General features: G+C 37.5%; 1 protein-coding gene across 25 annotated transcripts in view, besides 1 other annotated feature; it reads left to right on the top strand.

Moving 5' to 3' along the window:
* NEK10 (NIMA related kinase 10) overlaps positions 1–21113 on the top strand; it is a 262900-nt gene that overhangs the window by 219683 nt on the left and 22104 nt on the right. For 16 of the 25 annotated variants that reach the window (XR_001740034.2, NM_001394967.1, NM_001394964.1 and 13 more), the window contains 3 exons: positions 6227–6256; positions 8119–8219; positions 17711–17821. Coding sequence is in view for 24 of the 25 variants with exons in the window: in NM_001394967.1 (NP_001381896.1) it covers positions 6227–6256; positions 8119–8219; positions 17711–17821 (242 nt within the window). In the remaining variant the exon portion in view is untranslated. The remainder of the gene's footprint in view (positions 1–6226; positions 6257–8118; positions 8220–17710; positions 17822–21113) is intronic. The other 9 variants (NM_001394969.1, XM_047447506.1, XM_047447508.1 and 6 more) reach the window with 1 other exon arrangement.
* Positions 15244–15403: a silencer, noted in NCBI's record as "silent region_14148". NCBI's record gives its function as "represses an Ori minimal core promoter by ATAC-STARR-seq in GM12878 lymphoblastoid cells {active_cell/tissue: GM12878}" and the evidence as "EXISTENCE:reporter gene assay evidence [ECO:0000049][PMID:35858748]".

The raw sequence follows: 21113 nt of genomic DNA, 5'->3' as shown, positions 1-21113 counted from the left end.
TGTCTCAGGGAATAGGAAGGCCTATGAAGAAGGGAAAGATGGGGGAATGGCTGGTTGATGGAACAGTCAGAGTACACACAACATCCATCCATTAAGTTTACTATCTTATATGAGTGCAGTTTGTGGTGCCCCAAAACAATTACAATAGTGACATGCAGGATCCGTCATCACAGATCATCACAACAGATCTAATAATGAAAATGTTTGAAATATTGCAAGAATTACCAAAATGTGACACAGAGGCATGAAGTAAATGCATGCTACTAGAAAAATGGTGCCAGTAGCCTTGCTCAATGCAGAATTGACACAAAACTTAAATTTGTAAAAAAATTTAAAAAAAGCAACATCTTTGAAGTGCAATATAATAAGGTGCAATGAAATGAGGTATACTTGTAAATACCTTGGAGTATTTCCTCTGAGATCAGGCCCTTGAAAACTATTTATTGAGTAACTGATTTAGACCCATCACTGTATAAACTCTTGTTTATCTTTGCTATTGTATTGAGAGCAACTGCATAAGTAATCAGAAGCAGTGAGGGAATCACTGATTTTTTTGTATTAGACTTTTAAAATATTTTATTTTTATTAAATTTATTTTATTATATTAAAATATATACATATATATTTTAGATTTCAGATTGAGATAAGAAATTTCCTTTACCAATGATTATTTGCTTCCTCATTCTTCATGCCAAGGGAGGTGCCAAACGACTGTGTACAGGGTCCCAGGAGGATGCTTCTTGGAGATGTAGATTTTTTTCATGGTCATTTTAGGGTAATGTGTTTTCAAATGGATACTCATCTCACAAGAGTTACTGGTGGTTCCAATTCAAGCCTAAATCCAAATTGCATATCACCTGTTAAATGGCAACTCACACTCATGCCATTTGGGTTTCTGCCTGGGAGGAAAGGCTAAAGGAAGTAAGGGTTGAAAGGTATCCCACTCTCTGGTAGGAGTAAAGGGAGGTAGGTCAGCATGACTTGGGTGATGATTGTAGCATGGTGTGTAAAATAATTGAATTAACAGCGAAAAGCATCACCCTCAAATTCCAAATTGCCATTATTAGTAATTTATAGTGGATTTTAAAAATATGTTAAAAGTATTTACAAATATGCTTTGAATTAGTTTGTTGCATTGACCAATTTGAGAATTGAGGACAGTGACAGAAGGGCCAATTATAAGAAGAAGAAACCTGGATATCAAAGACCTTAGGTTCATGTGGAGTCTGTTGCACATGAGCCATACCATTTTGGACATACATATGGACATCTAATCAAATTATTCCTGTGTAGAAATGTAAGCACCAGTAGCTAAGAATCTATCCATGTGTTGGCTCCTGTCTGGGGAGTAGTTTTTTTAAGGATCTCAGAGTACATTTAAACCATAAGGGAGTATTAATCATTGAATCAGTCATTAAGCTTCTATTAATTCCCTTTCTTCAAGAAAAATGTTGATACAACTAAGGCTGTGTCCAAACCATTCTATAATGGTTGCTACAGCAGTTCCCTCTCCTGAAAGCAAGAGGCCTCTTTCTTCTCTCTGGGATACCTGCCTGCCCTCCACTATAGCTGGAACCTTGTTCATTCTTAATTGACTCTGCTCAGTATGGATTCAATAATTTATTTGGGATGTTTCATATAGTGTGTCAATTAAAAATTTTTCTGTTTATATAACTACTTATTATTTTTTATATTGGGGTGCAAAAGCACAATTCTTAAAGTTGTTCTTTGGCAAGTGTCTGAGTTTTATTCAATGCATTGATGATAGAACCAGGTGGAAGACAAAAATGCTGATTCAAGAGCATTTGAAGAACAGAGATTTATGTAGTTAGGCAAGAAAGAAGGGCTGACATAAGATTGCTAAATTAAGCGTAAGACTGGTAGAACTTCTATAGGGCAATAAAATGATACCATTTTTGTGATCAAGTTCTTGACTGGGTGTAAAATCATACCAGTATATTAATTTCTGCAGGTTAACCTCTAACGCTACAGGCCTGTAAACTGTCTGCTCCTTTATTGGTGTAGATTGTTAGTTAAATATACTGTGACATTACCCATTATGGGAATATAAGACACATTACTTAAAAGAGGCTCAGCCAGAATTCAAGAGTTAAGGACTTCAAAGCAGCCTTGCCTCTGGCCTTTAAACAGCTTATTCCTGAAGTTTCAAATGAAAGGAAGTTTGTTGCCTGATCACCCAGAGGTGAAAGGAGCTGATGCTTTGACTCAGCTTCCTGCCATTCTGTGAGAAACTCTGCCGGAGGCTAGGGTAGCAGGGGCATCTAGGCCTAGACTGCCAAGCTCCTTCCAAACACTTTTTGTCTGATTATAGAATGGTCTACTGGTCTGTGTTGGGAAGTTTCCATTGTCCATGCATCATATCCTCTGTCACTTCCCTCTCTCTTCTGATGGAACATCATATTCTCAGTGTCTCAGTCCCAAGCTTCAGCAGTCCTTGGCTCCTGCTCCCCATGTGGAAACAGCTACAGTGCACTGTAGATTGATTCACCCCACAACGTGTATGACCTCAGCCCCCTTGGTTCTAGTCCCATTTTTACCATTCTGCCATTTCATATGAAGAAACTAAGGCCCAAAGAAGTTGTGACTTTCTGAAAACCATATTGCAATGCAAGCCAGGCCTCTGACTTCAACTGTATGATCCTCTTCCCGTGAGATCACCTTTCCTGAAATACAGTCAGCCTTATTGTTTCTCACCATCGTGTATGGTCCCTGGCTACCTCTCCAGCTGTATACATACTGTACTTTTTTTATTGTACTGCACACCAGCTAAACTGAACAGTTTGCTGTTCTTCAGTTGCAGCCCTCACTTAGCTGACTTCACTCTTTGCTGGAATTATTCCTTCTCCTAAGAACCCACACTCACATACAACTTCCCTCACACCCAATACATTTCCTGTGCTATCGAAGACCTTCTAATTCTTCCTGGTCTTCTCAAATTAACATTTGAATTTGCTCTTTAGCCTACATCCATGGTTGTCTGGGTGAACCTTCTATGAAATCCTTATGAGTTCAAGATTCTTCATCTAACCAGGGACACAGGGATTGATTGCTGAACACTTACAGATTTGAACTACAATTACGTTACTTTATTTCATTGTTATGATAGTAAAGAGGTGAGAGTAAATTTGTATTGTAGTTTGACAACACTGTTGGTCCAATATAGAGAAGCTCATGTGTGTTTTGGCCCCCCATTCATGAAAACAATATATTTTTTGCTTCTTCATGGATTTCCTTCCTTAACCCTTTTTTTCTCCAGTTGTCCAAAAGTTCCTGATCCTTAGCTGAGAGAATTCAGAAAAATAATGCATTGATACCATATTTTGATCAATTGGGAGAGTACAGTGTAACCCACTTTTTTGGGTTTAATTTGTAGTTATTAACAGCTTCAAAGTGTATATTGTGAATTATAGTTTCAATAGAATGGACATATAGTATGTGTCAAGTGTCAAGTGTCAAAGCACCAGGGATGGGCAACTAACTTGGCTATTTTATTATGCAATGATATACTAAAGCAGAATGTAGTGCACAGCACTAGCTGTAAAGACCTAATGCTTCCAGCTTATTATGTCTACATGCTTTCCAAAAATAATTAATTAAATGTTGAGAGAGATAGATAGAACATCGTGTTAAAAGTAGCAGTCCTTTTAAGAAGAGAAATAATATTTCATTATGGGAAGGAGATATTGTTTTGTATTTGCAGTAACCAGAGGCGCCTTCTAGCTGTGTCCTTGCATGGTAGAAGGGGGTGACCACCTCCCTCTGGCCTCTTTTATAATGGCACTGATTCCATTCATGAGGCCTCCGCCCTTAGGACCTAATCACCTCCCAAGCTCACTTCCTCCAAATGCCATTGCCTTGGGGATTAGGATTTCAACCTGTGAATTTTGGTGGTTCAGAAGCATTTAGACCACAGCACTCAGTCTCCTCATCTGTAAAATGGGGGTAGAATCTACACCAATAAAGGAGCAGACAGTTTACAGGCACTGGGAGGTGTTTTATGCATTTAGTCTCCTCTGTGGATTAAAGCAGACTAAATGTGTAAAACACCTCCCAGTTTCTCACCCAAGTTCTTGCTAAAAAAGAAGGACTGCTCTTCTTGCAAGTCCTCTGACCTAACACTGCAAAGGGGAAACAAAATAGCTCTTTAGCGTCATGCTTGCAACAGAGTAAGCTAGCAAATATAATTATGTAATGACTTTTTGACGCTTTTAAGTAAATTGCCTCTTATAAGAAATTTCGTAGTTTCCTTCTAAGTTTTAAAACACTAGCCAAATTTACTATTTTAATAAAAACTATAAAAGAATACAAAGTATCCCAATATTTTAAACTTTGATTTTATTTAAATTTTAAGGAGACCAAATATTGTGTATATATTTTGCAGTAGGAAATACCACATAGATATGAATCATGGGCATATTATGTATGACTGACATTGCACATGAACTGTGATCAGCCTCACCGATGTCTCTTTAATAAAAAATTGTTTTAATACAAATATTCTCAGTATAAAATTGATAATATAAATATATGCTGCTTTTTTTTTTTGGTGAACAGTCAGAAAGTGTAGCGTTTTCAGTGGGCTAATCTAAAAGATATACTGAGAGAGAATGTTTTTAAAGCTAGACAAAATGTTATGGCTAACATTTGCCAAATGTTTGGCAGTTAATAACATTTAAATGAAGAATAAAAATACACTTTGGGAGGTCGAGGTGGGTGGATCACTTGAGGCCAGGAGTTCAAGACGAGCCTGTCCAATGTGGTGAAACCCTGTCTCTACTAAAAATATAAAAGTTAGCCAAGTGTGGTGGTGCATGCCTGTGGTCCCAGCTACACGGGAGGCTGAGGCAGGAGGATTGCTTGAGCCCAGGAGGCAGAGGCTGCAGTGAACTGTGATCATGCCACTGCACTCCAGCCTGAGTGACAGAGTGAGACCCTGTTTCAATTTTTTAATAATGTAATAAAAGGATGAGTATTCAGAATATCTAAAGAGCATTTACAAATCAATAAGAACAAAGAACTATGGATACAAGCAAGAAATTTACCAAAGAAGTACAGCAACCTCACTAGCGTTTAGATAAATACAAAAGCAATCAGATTGGCACAGTGGAAAAGTTTGATAATATATATTGTTGACCGAGGTGTAGAAAAATGGATTCTTTTCTGGTCAGAGTGTAAATTGACTCAGCCACTTAAAAATGTATTTGTTACAATGTATCCTTGGGTCCAGCTATTTCACTTCACTGTGTCTACCCTAAAATAACTCTTGTACTTACGCACAATGAGGCATGCCGGTGTATATTCACTGCAGCATCACTTATTATCATGAGAAATTGAAAGCAAAGGAAGTGTCCACTAGGACAGAAGTGGCTGTGTAAACTACAGTGCATCCAGGACACATAGTAGTCTTCAGCGGTTACAGAGAATGGGCTAGAACTGCATGTGTTGATAATAAACCATCTCCATGATAGACTAAGTGAAAAAAATAAATTGTACAACAGTTTATGTGATGTGATATGTCACCATTTGTTTACAAAGGAAGGCAAGGAAGGAGGGAGGAAAGAAGGGAGGAAGAGTGCAAGAGAGAAAGAGAGGAAAGGAGGAAGGGAGGACGGACAGACTGCTATAGATTTTCCATAATAGTAGCTTTCAAATGCTTGGAAATGACTATCAATAGAAAACGCATTTTATGTCTTGGCTGAGTGGACCCTTCCAATGTACTCTGAAATTTTAAAATCTAGTTCCGATTCATTTGATATCATTTTTCAAAATGCTGATCATAACATTAAAATTGGCTTCAGGACTCAAGTATGGTTTGAAAAACACTGTTTTGAAGTGTACATTTATGTATGTAAATGGATAGAGAAGTGAGTGGAAGTCAACACACCCCTCTGATATCACAGGTTATTTCTGGGGAGGTGGCTGTGATGGGTGGTGGCTCCTGGGAGCCTTGAATCTCATTTGTACAACTAACATTTTTGTTTGTTTGCTTGCTTGTTTTTATAGGGGCATGCGTAATTAAATATTTTTAACTTTATTTTTTAATAACTAAGTAATCAAAAGTATTTCCAGAAGTCAAGGATGTGTTGGGATTGTGAGGGTAGTGGTCAAAGGGTCTCAATAAAAATAATTTTTGAGTTAAAAAAATTGCATAGTTGATTAATTCAGAAGGAAGACATTCTAGCTAACTCTTTGTTTTTGTATTTAGGGCCACAGATGGGCACATTCTTGTGGCAAGGTAGAGTCAAACCTATGTGATATCCCATTCAAAATGTCATCACAGATCTAAGAACTCTTTGCCATGTTGTGAGATTTTAACTCATTAAAATCTATGAATCTATAAACTATGAATGTTGCATCTACAAATCAGAAACATAGTATAAAAATGATTTTAAAAAATCAAGCTCTCCATTTTCAGAGAATGCAAAGTTAATTTTTCTGTAGCAATAACAACTTGGTCATGTTACACACTGTCTAGTATTTGTTTTGGGTCTAGACGAACAGTTACATTTTAAGAATTATTTCTCCAAGAAGCACTACTGTAGAAAATATGGCATGTGTACACTTGGCCATCTCCACAAGATGGAGCAGACAACTCCAGCTCTCTGTTTTCTATTTTAGAGCTACATTAACTCTTTCTATTTGCCTCTTTACATTTTTATCCCAAGGGTATTTATTAAACCTCATATTAATAATCAAATAATTCATATTAAAAGGAGTAAACATTGTGTCCATGGGATAGAGACTCTTTAAATTTCAAACATTTAAACAAGGTATTAACTGCAGATGAGCTAGAACTAGATTATTTCTTGTGCTAAATTCTAAACTAACTCAGTAAAGATATCTGTAAAGAAAGTAGTATTTCTTTGAATGTTTATATTTTATTCTTTTTTGCATTTTATGTCTTAAATATACATTTTCATGTGCTTATAATAAAACAAGTTGACTCTTTTAAATGACTGCATTGAATGTTCTCTTTAAATGTCTTGAAAACAAAATATTTATGGTAAAATATGCAAGCTTTCTCAGGAAGTGCTTATAATAGAAGCGTTTTTAAAGATGTTTAGCTGTTGTTAAAGCAATAACTATATTCATGTTTAACTTCATAGTAGCTCAATGTTGTGTGAAGGGAAGAAAAGAGGGTCTTTGGAACTTTCATCTTTTTTTTTTTTTTAAAAGGAAATTAGCAAGAGAAGTTTTATTGCGGAAAGCACACTCTAGGTTAAGGGGAGGAAAGGAAAGAGAAAGAGAAGGAAGAGAAAGGAAGGAAGATAATGCACATCACATATCTGAAGTCTCTTTTTGTTTTATCCAGTGTGGTTCTGTGGGTGAAAAGAGGCAGAGGTGGCCTTGTAGGTAATCTAGAGAAAAGAGTCATTCCTTTAAATAGTTTTATAGTCCTCAGGTTAAGAACAGACTGTGGCTATGGCAGAGGACGCTGGGAAAGCAACTAATATGTAATTTGACACTGAATTAGTCTGAAAACTGTGAAGGTGGTGTGGCTGTATGATGAGAATTCAGGATAAATTATAAATGTGCCCTACTTAGACATGGAGAGAAATCTATGTGAAAATTATAATTTGTAATAATCAAAGGTTTGAAAGTTATTTAATTCTAGCTAAAAGAATTTTCATTTTTTTTTGCTCTGTAAGAATGTTCAGTGATTACATTTTATAGTTTTGATAAAATTAGTCTTAAAATATGTTATGGAAGGCATAATGAATTTAAAAGTTAAAAGCATGATAGCCTCTTAACTATACATGTCTGAAGCCTGGCTTTTCAGTGGCTACTGTATCTAAGGCACTGCTGACTCCTGATGGCAGCCTGCTGTAATTGCCAGCAAAATATCCAAGTGATAAGCAGTCTTTCAGATGTTATTATAGATAATATCATTGTGTTACTTAGAAGTCTGAGAAGTAAAGGGAAGATATTTTTTATTCCATGTCATAAAATGTTGAAGTATTACAGGGTCTCTGCATATTGTCTCATTGATAAGGTGAAGTCTTTGCTTTAAAATTTGTGTTAGAATTTTACTTCATTTTTTCACTAATGTAACTTTTGAAAGAGAACTTGACTAACTACAAAATTTATCACCCACAGCATCAGCAGGAATTGCTGTGTCCCAGAGGAAAGTGCGTCAGATCAGTGATCCTATTCAGCAGATATTAATTCAGCTGCACAAAATAATCTATATCACACAGGTCAGTGTTCTAGCTTTTTATTTCCTTTTCATCTTAAATGCAAGTTTGGTGCTAATATTGCTGAAGAACTATTTTGGAGGACTTTAGATTGAATTCTTGTTCTTATCCTCCCCAGCTACATACATGTGGGGACACTTTAGTTTAGCAGCAGAGCTGGGAAGGCAGTAGAGTAACAAAGCAAATATATGGGATTTTCCCTATGATTCCTAACATCCTCTCTTACTGTTAGTGCCCAAACAAACCAAACTTCACCATAAATGGCCCTCCTGTAGGGGTGCAAGTGGAGACGGAGTTGGGATTCTTTGCTCTTAAGCAGCTTTACTCTAAGAAAGAAAGAGGAAAATAGTGCCCACACATTAATTCTGAGAATGCTAGGTTGAAAATAGGACCTTTCAGAGAGTGAAAGCCAAAACCACACAAAATCCAGAATTGTTAAAATTTTCTACTTGTAAATCTCAGTGATTCCTAGCACTGAGAAAATAATCAGTGCTAAAAAATGGCTATTAATTATTGACAGAAATATGTCTAGAAATAACTTGAAGGCTCTGTTATATATGGTTAATAAAATCTTTTTTTTAGACAAAGAAGTGCAGAAGACCTTTGGACATGAAAGTCACTGTTATTTTGAAGTCTAAAATTGTGTATCTTATGTGGTTTATTCATTCATTCACTCACTTGACATATAATTATTAGGTGCCTACTATGTGCCAGATGCTATTCTAGGGACTTGGGATACATCCACGAGCAAAACATAAACATTGCCTTGCTCTAGATTCAAAGAACCAATGGGGGATGCTGTCAGCTGCCAGTTTTGGCAATTCCAACTAAATATTCAGATACTGAAGAGAAATACCACAAGTTAAATGGACCAACTGGGCCCATTGGGCTCATATTTCATTTAACTAACCCCCATCCCTACCCAAAACATCCCAAAACAAAAAATCATTAAAAATGGTGTACCACAGTAACATGATAAGACTCTAGGAATCTTGATGTCAGTTTGCAACCAGTGTCTAGTATTTGCTGAAAGCCTGTGTATTTCCTTTTCCCCAGTAAACAGTCACTCTAGTAAATGGCTGCGGTTCTCCTTGGGGGAGGTTTGGAGGAAAATGTATAGTGTGCACTTGTAGTAATATTTCAGGGGCCTTCCTCAAGGGGTCCCAGCTTTCCACTTAATCAAGGGGCTTTGAGTCTTTGAATTGACTTGCATCTGGAAACTGTGTGAGAAGCTATAACTCTTCACTGTAGCAATGGCAACTTAGGGCAGGTTTCTGTCTACCACACCTAGATAATCTTTTCTGTTAAACTGATCAAGGAATACTTTAATAGGCAGACCATCTATTTCTTTTCCAGGAACACCCTAGTCAACTAACCACTGCCAAAGATCTCTGTTGGCTAAGGCATTCTAAATAATAGTACCTCCCTGCTGCCCTTTATGGAAGATGCTCTCAGTTTGCTATTAGTGGTCAAGTGCTGTCAGTTGGCCCCTGACAACTGGATACATTGAAATCATGTATCGTTCGGTGTCATACCTGGCCTCCAAAGGAGAGCAACCACAGGGCTTTTCAAGGATGCTGGTGCTCCCCTTTCCAATGTATTTCTCAATGTCTTAGTGAAAGGAATGGCTTCTGGATGTTCTTGCTGAATGTGGTTAGGGAGTGGGTGTGCAAGTCACACATGGTAAATCTACCCCAATGAGCCCGTCTCTCTGAGCCTTTGAAATCACCCCTTTACATGCCAGAGAAGCTCTGGCATTTTACCCTCATCAAACACAGACCATGGTTAAGTACAAGTTTTACTCAAACAACCAGTTAAACTACTTCCAGCTGCATGAACTAACATGTGAAATCTGGAGTCTGTAGTACGTGCACCCATATCAATGAATTCAGCCTGATCTAGTGCTATAGTTTTTACCCTTCTTGGCCTACCCTTCTTAGAATCCACTCCTGTACATGTTCTCTGGGTTGCTGCTGAAATGTAATAGCAAAATCTTGCAATTCTTTTCCTATTTCATACTGGGTCATGGTGTACATGAATTCCCCTGGATCATATTGAAATAGGACCCTAGTTATGGATTTGACCCTCATTGTGTTGGATCTCATGAGGAAATGAACATCCCTTTTAAAGACATTTGTCCTAGATGAGGTTATCATAGGGTTTTCAAGCAAAGAAAGGTTCATGTTCTCAGACACAGAGTGGCAAGCTATTTTTAATTGCTATGAAGGCTCAGAGTGACCTTGGTTTTAGGATTGTTAGTTTTACTTGGGTAGTCTCAACAAGATGTTCCTATTCCAAGTTTTAGAATTCTTTTTTTTTCTAACTTTCACATGAGAAATTTGATAACATGTGACTTCATCCGACCTTGTAATTTAGTAAGCTGCTCGATTAAATTTCGATTATCAGCCATATCAGCACTGTAGCAGAAGAAAGCAATGGATTCTTTTAGGGCTATCTTGGGATCTTTCCACGTCTCAGACCATGACTTCAGCTGAGCTGTAAAGGACCCAAGCTTGTCATTTTCTTTCTGTAAGTGCTCCAATGCATTCAAAAGAACCCATTCTGTGCCATAGTCCTTGTGTTCTTCATTACTGTTTACTAGTCAAGAACAGCAGCTATTTGGGCTTCCAAGGCACCTGCTTCAGTTGGCACTTCATCAGGATAACCTGATTAATTGTGATGCAACTGCATGCCATGGATTACTAGCATCCCATGTCCTATTGGCAACAAGCAAAGGAACAAACAAAACTCAGCACTGGGCTCAGTTCCAAGGGCACAGTCAAACCAGTTCCCAAATCCTATCTGTATGGGCTCTTCTGGGACATTCCTAAAACCTGTATCTGTATCAGTGAGGGTCTAGTCAGAAACCATACCATAGTTTCAACAGGGAAGGTTTAATGTAAAGAATTATTAACTATGATGAGTATTATCTACTAGGGAGGGGAAGAGAAATCTAAAGGATGTAGGAAGAGCACAAAAAGAAGTCACAACCTCTAGGGCTGAGGCAGAGCACCCAAGAAAGGAACAAATATAGAATTGGGCACTCCCACACTAGGTCGAAGTCCTGACCTTACTGAAAAGATCAGAAAAATTAGTAAGGTGCTATACTGGAGAAACTTGAAGCGAAGTGTCCCTCTGGGGGACCTGGGCAAGCCCTCCACAGTGAGGTACTGTGCCCTGGAACTTACTGGGAATCAGCACTTGAGGGTATTGTGCTGGGTAGCACCCTCCATGGGACCAGGGGAGGCCACCCTGAGTTAGGTGTTGCTCCATGGAATTCTCTGGGGAGCGACCTGCAGAGTTGGTGCCACTGGATTTGACTGGGGGTTAGCACCAACCTCTAGGGGTCCCACATGTGCTGTTTGCTATGAGCTGCCGCAGCAAGGCAACGCAGGAGCATCACTGGAGCCAGGAAACAAGATCCATCCTCCTTCAGCATCCCTCCAGGGCTCTCTTCTGATAGAGCTTAGCATCCTGCTAGATGGCAAGGGAGAAATGTTCCAGTATCACAAGCTGGATAATGAAAGGGTGGACTTGGAGCTGACAGGCTGCTTACTGACACACTTAACCTAGGGGACTAGACAAGGAACCGCCTTCTTTGGTGTCTCCCTACCTCTGAGTTCTCCTTGCTTTCCCTTTAGCCTGGGTAGTCTTTAAGCCTGGGGCTGAGTAGCCTGGGTCTTATCTATCAAGTTTTGTCCAAACTCTGGTGTTCTTTTTTCTTTCCCGATGGCTGCCTTTTGGAGATGCAAGAGTCTAAAACTGATCACTTTTCTATTTTCTGCTGTCAAGCTTTCTCTTAGGCAACCACAGAATTGTCTAACTAATTACGTAAAAGAGGGTGAAGGAGTACAGGGAAATATTGGGGGAAGCTTGACTAATACATCAAAATATAATCTGCCATATCTATATTGAGTAAAGTGGTTATATTAATGCATGTCCATTTAAATACTGATATAGAAATATGGAAAAAGCATTCTTAACTTTAGTGTTACGGAAATAGCTTTAAATAGCTTTTTAGTTCTCTTAACTATTAACTATTCAATTGAGAGAAATATCCTTTGAAATTTAAATATAGTTTTCATATGCCTGTCTTGCTAATTTTTATGTAATAAAAAACTTTATAATGTATACCATTTTCTTATTGGATTTCAAAGTAGTTTAAAGCAAGAGTAAAACTATTATAAATATCTTATTATTATGCTCTTGAACTGCCAGTGTAACAAATGATTTCATTTTTTTTGGCAGAATGGCATTCCTTGCTACAAGTTCAAATATAACTATCGTGATTTTTAAAATGTATTTCCAGAATACTCTAAAGTTTATGACATTGCACATAGTCGGGAATGATTCCTCTTTGAGGAACTTTAACTTATAGTGCTAAACAAAGTCAATGACTTTCAAATAAAAAAGAAAAATACATGTAAATATTATACTAGTGTATTTGCTATAGGTTAAAGACCAAGATCAGTTACTTTGCTAATTGCAAAGGAAGACTGAAAGTAAGAATGAATTGGAAAAACAAACAAAAAGACAATATTTTCACATATTTATTTACTAGTCAAACTCTCTCAGACTTAACACTTGGTAGCTGCCCTAAACTGAGGGGCCACATATCTCCTGACAACCAGCAGATGAACTTAACAAGGAAAACTTCTTACTTTTGGTTGGTGGTGGCCTTTTCTGTCTCGTTTCCATGGAGACAGATCAGTGAAAATCATCTAAAAGCAACTATTTTAGAAGGCAGGATGTTAAAATCCTTACCTTGCTTTCTAACTGATTTGACCTCTGTTTTTATCAAAGCTGAAATGGTAATCGTAAGACCAGCAAGCTAAGTATGAAATCAGTGGTTTACTTCTATTGCTGGAACCCCAAATCTACCTTTGGACATATAAGGTGACTAAAGTACATATGTTACCTTTGAGTATGAGTCTTTATGTGTTATTGCTTAGGTCACACCTGCACAGCCCAGTGAAGCACTGGATTTAACTTTATACTTACATTTAGATTGTTTTGTTAAATAGATGCTTTGAAAATCAGGATATATAGCATCTTTTAAAAATTAAACATTGGGGCCGGGCGCGGTGGCTCACGCCTGTAATCCCAGAACTTTGAGAGGCTGAGACAGGTGGATCACAAGGTCAGGAGATCGAGACCATCCTGGCTAACACAGTGAAACACCGTCTCTACTAAAAATAGAAAAAATTAGCCGGGCGTGGTGGTGGGCGCCTGTAGTCCCAGCTACTCGGGAGGCTGAGGCAGGATAGTGGCGTGAACCTGGGAGGTGGAGCTTGCAGTGAGATGAGATGGCGCCACTGCACTCCAGCCTGGGTGACAGAGCAAGACTCTATCTCAAAAAAAAAAAAAAAAAAAAAAAAAAATCGATCTCCTAGAGAACAGGCAAGCCATTTATTTGAAGCGCCTTTGAATTGTTTGTCTTCACAACCACAGTTATTGCCAATGGAAAAAAATGTAGTTCAGAATAGCAATGTGTTGTCCTCCAATGAAAATTATACTACTGACTGTCATTGGTGAAACGTTCTGTGTTTTTTCAGCAGTAGTGATGGATAAGACTAGAACCATCCATACCTGCTCATCTGGATCTCCTGTACTAATGGCAAGGGTGACCTAGATTTAACAGAATAAGATATTTAGGATAAAGTTGTATTTCTTAAATTGACTGCCATTTTCAGGGTTTGTAAATTCTAAGAGAAGTGTTATGTTTTGTGTATTTAGTTTGATAACAGTCTTTGAACATTCTGTTTTAGCATTTAGGGAAATATCCTCTTATGCAGTAATGTCAAAATAACTTTTTAAAAAATAGAATTAGGAACTAACTTAAATCACTTTTTATCAAATGGAGTCCTGTGAACAATGGATAGTCTTCTGATGTATTCTTGGAGATACTAGAGAATATAGCAAGTTCTTTAAAAGAATCCATATATTCTTCCATATGTAGAAATCTATATATTCTTTTCCAATATTAATATTATGCAAGTTTGAGAAAACCTAGTATAAAACATGCAGATCGGCTTTCATTATTTTGTTACTTTGTGTAGTATAGTAAAAACAAGCAAACAAAAACCAAGCTTTTAGGTGTGTGACTTTGAGGAAGTAATTATCTTTTTAAGAGTCACTTTCTTCATTTGTAAGATGGGGGAGCTTATGAGACTACTTGCCTCAAATGAAATAAAGTATGTAAAAATGTTTGTTTATTTGTTTCTTTATTGGAGATGGATCTTGCCATGTTGCCCAAGGCTGGTCTTGAACTCTCCTGGGCTCAAGCGGTCCTCCCACCTTTGCCTCCCAAAGTGCTGGCAATACAGGCATGAACCACCGTGCCTGGCTGAAAATGTTTCTAAACTATAAAGTGCTATCCTACAGTAATGCTAGTCATGGTGGCATCTGTTCTAGAATAATGGCTGTGCTAGAAGACGCTGCTCAGAAAGTATTCTTGCATGTTACATAATGTCTTTAAGCTCTGACTTCCTCACCTATAAAATAGTACTTGCTTTATAAGTTTGTCGTGGAGAAAAAAGTGAGACTGCGCATAAATGAGTAGTCATAGTGTCTGGCTCAAATGAATCATAGACATTAATATTCTATTCTTAGTATTATAGTCCTTACGTATAATATATTATTATGTTTATATCACCTGCAATTAAACTATGCATGAGTCATCATTTTGTGTAAAATTTTAAATTCTTGTATGAAAAAACTTCAAAGATGGGGTGCTGTCCATTGTAATAATTATTCCAGTAAGATCAATAGCTTTCTAATATATATGCAGCTTAAGTTGACTGAATGTTAACTTACTCAAATGAGTTTTTGAGGCTTAATTCAGACCATCAGGAGCAGTAAAAACAATTCTAACTTAACTAGAGGCTTCTCAAGTTAAATAAATCGCAAGAATTCTCAGAGTACCTGAATTAATAATCTGATACTCATAGCTTCCAGTAGTGGGTTAAGTCCCCTTTGAAGGAAGCTATGAGCCCACTGGTGTTCCACACTTTCAAAAGTTTGTCATAGCAGAGAAGGCTCGCTGCCTTTCTGTTTGACAGCCCCTTGCAGTCAGCTGGGCAGCAGCTAGAGGGTTCTGGGCCAACACTGCCCTCTGGTGTTTGGTTTGGGGAAGTGGCAACTTTTGGTGCATTACAAAAGGGAATTATCAAACCTGTGCTCTGTCCAGGTACTTTCTGGTCCCCTCATTACTCCATCCCATCTTCCTGCTAGGAATATACATGCACATGCTCCTCACCTTCATGTCTGTTTCTATTCTAAGTTAAATTCATTTCTCTTTTGCTTTTCTCTCTCACACACATATATCATTTATACTCATTTTCCTTCTCATCTGTCTTTGATTTGCTCCTTAATGCTGAGAAATCTCTCTCTCTCTCCCTGCACCCCCCTTCCTCTCTTTTCTTTCTCTATTCCACATTTTTTTAAATTTCCTCCTTTCATTTCATGTGAAAGGACAATAATAATTATGACTATTTGCTGGGAGCCGAGGAAGGGATCCCATCTGGATTAAGGCAAAAGAAACTATAATATTGACCTGAAAAGAGGTCAGAGGAGACTCAGTGCTGCCAACCTACAAAACATTTCAGAGTACACTGAAGTGCTTCAGTATCTCCAGAAGAGTCTTATTTCTTCGCTAATTAACGTATTTTGACTCAAACACTAGGATAAAAGATACATTTTTTATTTTTTGAGATGGAGTTTCGCTCTCATTGCCCAGGCTGGAGTGCAATGGCATTATCTCAGCTCACCACAACCTCCACCTCCGGGGTTCAAGCAACTGTCCTGCCTCAGCCTCCCAAGTAGCTGGGATTACAGGCATGCACCACCATGCCCGGCTAATTTTGTATTTTTAGTAGAGATGGGGTTTCTCCATGTTGGTCAGGCTAGTCTTGAACTCCTTACCTCAGGTGATCCTCCTGCCTCGGCCTCCCAAAGTGCTGGGATTAAAGGCATAAGCCACTGCACCCAGCCAAAGATATATTTTTAAAAACATTTTTCAATTGAATTATTTTCCTGTTTTATATAATTACAGTACTTCATAATGGGCCCTACATTCTACTATATTTGGGATGATGAAAAGTTTTTATTTGGCTGTGCAATCAGTGTTGTGAGCCCCTCCCTGTAGGCCCTATTCTTTGCTCTGCCATTATCTTTTATATGTCCTCCTGTCTGACAAAACTTGAGTAAATAAGATAAGGTTAAGTCATGCTGAACGAACAGTTACACCCTGAAATTCCTTGGCTTGACACAATAGAGGTTTATTTCTTACTCAGTTCCATTCGGGCTGCTCAGGTGGCCCTGTTCCTTCTTGTGGCTGTGCAGTCAGAATAGGATGGTAATGCCAAGCTCCTTGCAGTAGGGAGGACAGTGGTGGAGAAAACACACTGACTTTGAATTGTCTTATCCTCAGAGTGACACACATCATTTTTATTGACCAAAAGTAGTCACATGGTACTAACTAAGCCTGTAAAGGAGCCTAGAAAATAGAGCAGGGTTGGGGTAATAATTATTTCTGATACATTCTTCTTTCTTTTGATCTGAGCTTTGAATTATATTCTTGTTTAATATTGAGATCTCTTACTATCACATTTTCCTTTCCACTTAGCCATCTTTTTTCTGACTGGTTCCTCTTTCTCTCCCTTCAAGTTCTTTCCATAATTTAAACAAAACCAAATATTATTTCCACTCTGAGACCCTTTTAATCCTGACCCAATTTCTTTTCTATTATCCTTCTTCTAAATGTCACTTCATCTTTCTGTGCTTTCCAGGACTTTTGATTTTCTTGTAGAGATCCAACCTACAAAGCATGACAAATCATTTTTTTAATCCCCATTTTTTTTGTTACCATGTTTTCTAAGGTCCTACCATGACTTTCTACTACTCACTTACTAAATGTAACTCATCCTAGTCTGGTCTTAATATATGCTAATCTATCCTCTCTTTCTTCTGGAATGATTGGTACCTAAATCTGACCTCTCTGCAGCTGAATTTTCAGGAGCACTCCAAGACAGGCATCTGACTATATATACTACTAAAGCAGATATGTATTTCCTGGTCCAAAGTGTCAGATCCTATAGTACCAAGGCTACAGTGTTTGGCATAGTTCTAGGCATATTATAAGCACCTAAACATCTGATAAAAGTGCACCATTCTGTGTCAAGACTGTTCTTCACAAAATTCAGTATATGTGTGCAATTAATGAATAATTTGTTAAATGAAAAATAATATCAATCAATGAAGAAACAATAAGATAAATGGAAGCAGCCATTTGAAAAAGAGCAAAATAATATATTCCTTCTGAATCGCAGGGTAAAAATTATAGCATCTAGTCATGCTATTTGCAGTAAAATTTAAATTCTTACATAGTCCTATTGAGTGAATATTGTTACATGGGCCCTCAGCGAATGCTTTTTGTAGTCAGCTGTGTAGTGTTAACAATTTGTTTATAATGATTGTTTTCTTATTTTATGCAGCTTCCTCCAGCTTTGCACCACAATTTGAAAAGAAGGGTTATAGAGAGATTCAAGAAATCCCTCTTCAGCCAGCAGAGTAACCCTTGTAATTTGAAATCTGAAATTAAAAAGGTATGGTATTCTATATATAGGAATTCTTTTGCTGACAAAACCACATCATAAGAGGTACATTTTATACCTCCTTTACTTCGTACTTTAAGCTCTATCCTCTATTAAAGTTTCTTATTGCTGCTTTACATACTAAATTGAGGATATGTCTTTGCTTCTGATTTTCTCTATTTCCGTGGCCCTTATTTTTAGATAACAAATGGATAGCTTTTTCAGTATTTTTGTATGTTTTCCTAAGAAAAAGTAATATTTAATTTGAAATGTGTATATTTTAGCCTCTTCTAGAGAATTATATTCTGATATTTTATTAGAATAATCTTCAATAAGCTCCAAAATTGAGATTTGTCACTCTGAAGAAGTCATTTAACCATCTGGGGCCATTGATTTTTTATTATCTATGAAAGCTGACTGAACTATTTCTAAGGTTCTTTCCATCTTAGATAGTCTACAATCTTCTAGACCTTAGATACTAGCAGACATTTCTGTCCATACATATAGCAACTAAACTACAAAAATACTAAATCAACTGGGCAGAAAGAAAATTGTTTACCTCTGGTTAACAAAACTTGATATTGGAAAATCCCTTTGTCCTGGTTGGTAGACCTTTCGATACAGCCCTGGAAGTGGCCATAAGCTCCCCTGAAAGGCCCAAGGTACAAGCAATTCAGGCCCACCTAGGTAAAGACAATTGGTAGCACTCCAATTTCATATTTTTTAAAAAGTTTCATCATATTTTTAAATGGGTAGCATAGTCATGCTGCCAGTGAACTTTTCCTTTAAGGTTTCACGTTCCTTTAATGCATCAAAGCTTCAGCATTAACTTACTCATTATTTAGAAAATATGATAGGCTCTTTGATAAGAAATGCAAACAACATTCTTTAGCTTTGTTGTTTCACATCACTGGTATCTGCACATACACCAAAAACAGATGGGGGAAAAAGACACAGCTGCAGGTAAACAAAACATAAAGCCTGCTCCATCAGAGATTAGAGAGCAAGGTTTCTTTCCTGGGTTGTGTTGGCAAATAGGGCCAAGAAACAAAGCTGAAGGAGATCAAAGCAGTAGAAGAGGCTTCAGATATTTATCTTATGATATTTATATATTGTATCATAATAAACACATTTTTAAAAGATAAAAGCTTAAATCTCCCATGAAAAGATAATATGTTGCTTGGTTTTTTATTCTTATTAAGGTCATATAACTCTTATTCTTATTTTATATTCTTATTAAGGTCAGAATAATCTGGTTTGAGCATAGACTTATTTTAACAGAAATCCTAGTTTTATGAGATGAAAGCATCTGCTACAAACTGTCTGAGACATAAAGGTGGCTTCAACTCCCACTGAGTGATTTTCCATCAGTGCTTCTCTTTATTTTCTCGTTTATTACTTATGTTTTTGGTGTTGCAACTCTTCCTCACTTTCTTTCCTCTCCTGATAGAGAAGATTTTGTTTGTTAAATTCTCCCACCCACTCCTTGTCTTCCTTCCTGTGTATTGTGGCAGCATCTCTCATTGGGCATTTACCTTCTGATACACCTCGTCTGGGAAAATAAAAACAGGAATTGGTAGGGTGGTAGGAGATGTTTGGGAAGCATGGGTGAGAGAACCCTCAGGAATAGACTCATCCTTATTATTAACTTGTTTAAGAGGCAGATTATACTCTCCTATAAAGACTGCCATGGTTCTCTTGTCTGATACTACAAGCCCATGGTGGTCTTTGGGACATCTTGTATGGACCTTTAGGTAGGGAAAGGCCCTATATATTGCTTTAGGGCTCATGATCAACAGAAGTGTGGTTCCATTCCTCTACAGGCAGCTTCAGGCTTGCGCCATCTCCCCATGAAGTTGGATGATACCTTCATGGGGGTGTATCCTCTTAGTCAGAGAGGCAGGCCTCCTGGGTGCTAAAGAAATCCTCAGCTTGGGATATTAAAACACTTCCTATTCTTTACCACCAAACTGAAAAAAATAGCTCTGACAAAAAAAAAAAACCTTTCTTAATTTTCCCTGTCCAGAATTAATCTTACCTTTCTCTATGGGTGAATCCACTTTTTCACCTGTATTATTGTGTTTTAAATAGCTTTTTATCTACCTTACATTCTGTTTCCCCCAAAGTTGGTGGGTGTGTCTTATTTATCTTTGATTCCCCAGGGCCTTGCACAGTGCCTGGCATGTGGTAGGTACTTAATGTTTAATAATTGGAGATAGGATATATAATACATTAATATATATTCTGTATAATATATAGTTGTTCCATTCTTTATTGGTATACTGATAAAATATATTCATATATGTAACTTTCCTGCCTTCATCTAAACTTAAATGAGAAGAGTTTGTGACCTCCATTTTTACCCCTTTTCTGGTATAATCTTTTGATAGCAACAACTTCTGTTCATAAATGGATTTTTCATTCCCTGTGTAACCATAGAGGAGTGGCCAATTAGCCTTTGACTGACACAGTCACCCCATACCAGGGCCATAGGAGCAGTAAGTGGTGACAGCCCGTAAATGCACTTGATTTCTACCTTTCTCACTGAAACTTCTAAAACCCACGGGCCCTGTGTCCCTAGTTTGAAGGAGCCATTATGGGATGACTGTGCCTACTTACTAATAGCCTAAGACCCAGAAGGATACAGAAGATTCAAAAAGTGCAAAAGGCCTTTTCTAAGACATTAAGCTCTTTATTTATACCTCACCTAAGTTAGTCTTCAATCCAGTCTGCTCAATCTTGGCTAGAATTGCGAGGGGAGTAAAGCAACCAAGTAATTGTATAGGTACCCTTGGGAACTAGGATTTTCAGCATGGAGGAAAGGGGAAACAGAAGCAAGATAGCAGAGATTCATCTAAATTGGAATTGGAAGTATCAGTGTGAATGAATATGAGTTCATGATAAATCTCATCTATTAAAAAATATACACATTTCCTAATATTTTCATTGAAATAGTCGAGAAACTAATCAAGCAGCAATGAGCTCCTCCACCCATGACTCCTTGGGGATATAGGTGATTTTGGTCTAGAGCAGGAACTGTACAAGATTAGACTGGAATATTTGGACATACAGATAGCATAGTAAGTATGGTGTCAAGGACTACTGAGAGTATATCAAAAGTTCTCAAGAGCCAAATTGAAGAGGCTCCCACTGGCTATTTATGGGATAATTGGAACATCAATAAGAATAATAAATTGAAAGCATTAAATAAGGTTTAAACCCAAGAGTTCATAATACCAAAAAAGAAAAAAAAAAATCCCTCATTGGTTACCTTTGGAAGATGCTAAGTAACCAGCTTATTATA

The sequence above is a fragment of the Homo sapiens genome, chromosome 3 (assembly GCF_000001405.40).
Source record: "Homo sapiens chromosome 3, GRCh38.p14 Primary Assembly".
NCBI classification, from domain to species: Eukaryota; Metazoa; Chordata; class Mammalia; order Primates; family Hominidae; genus Homo; species Homo sapiens.
This window is presented reverse-complemented; position numbering and strand designations above follow the sequence as displayed.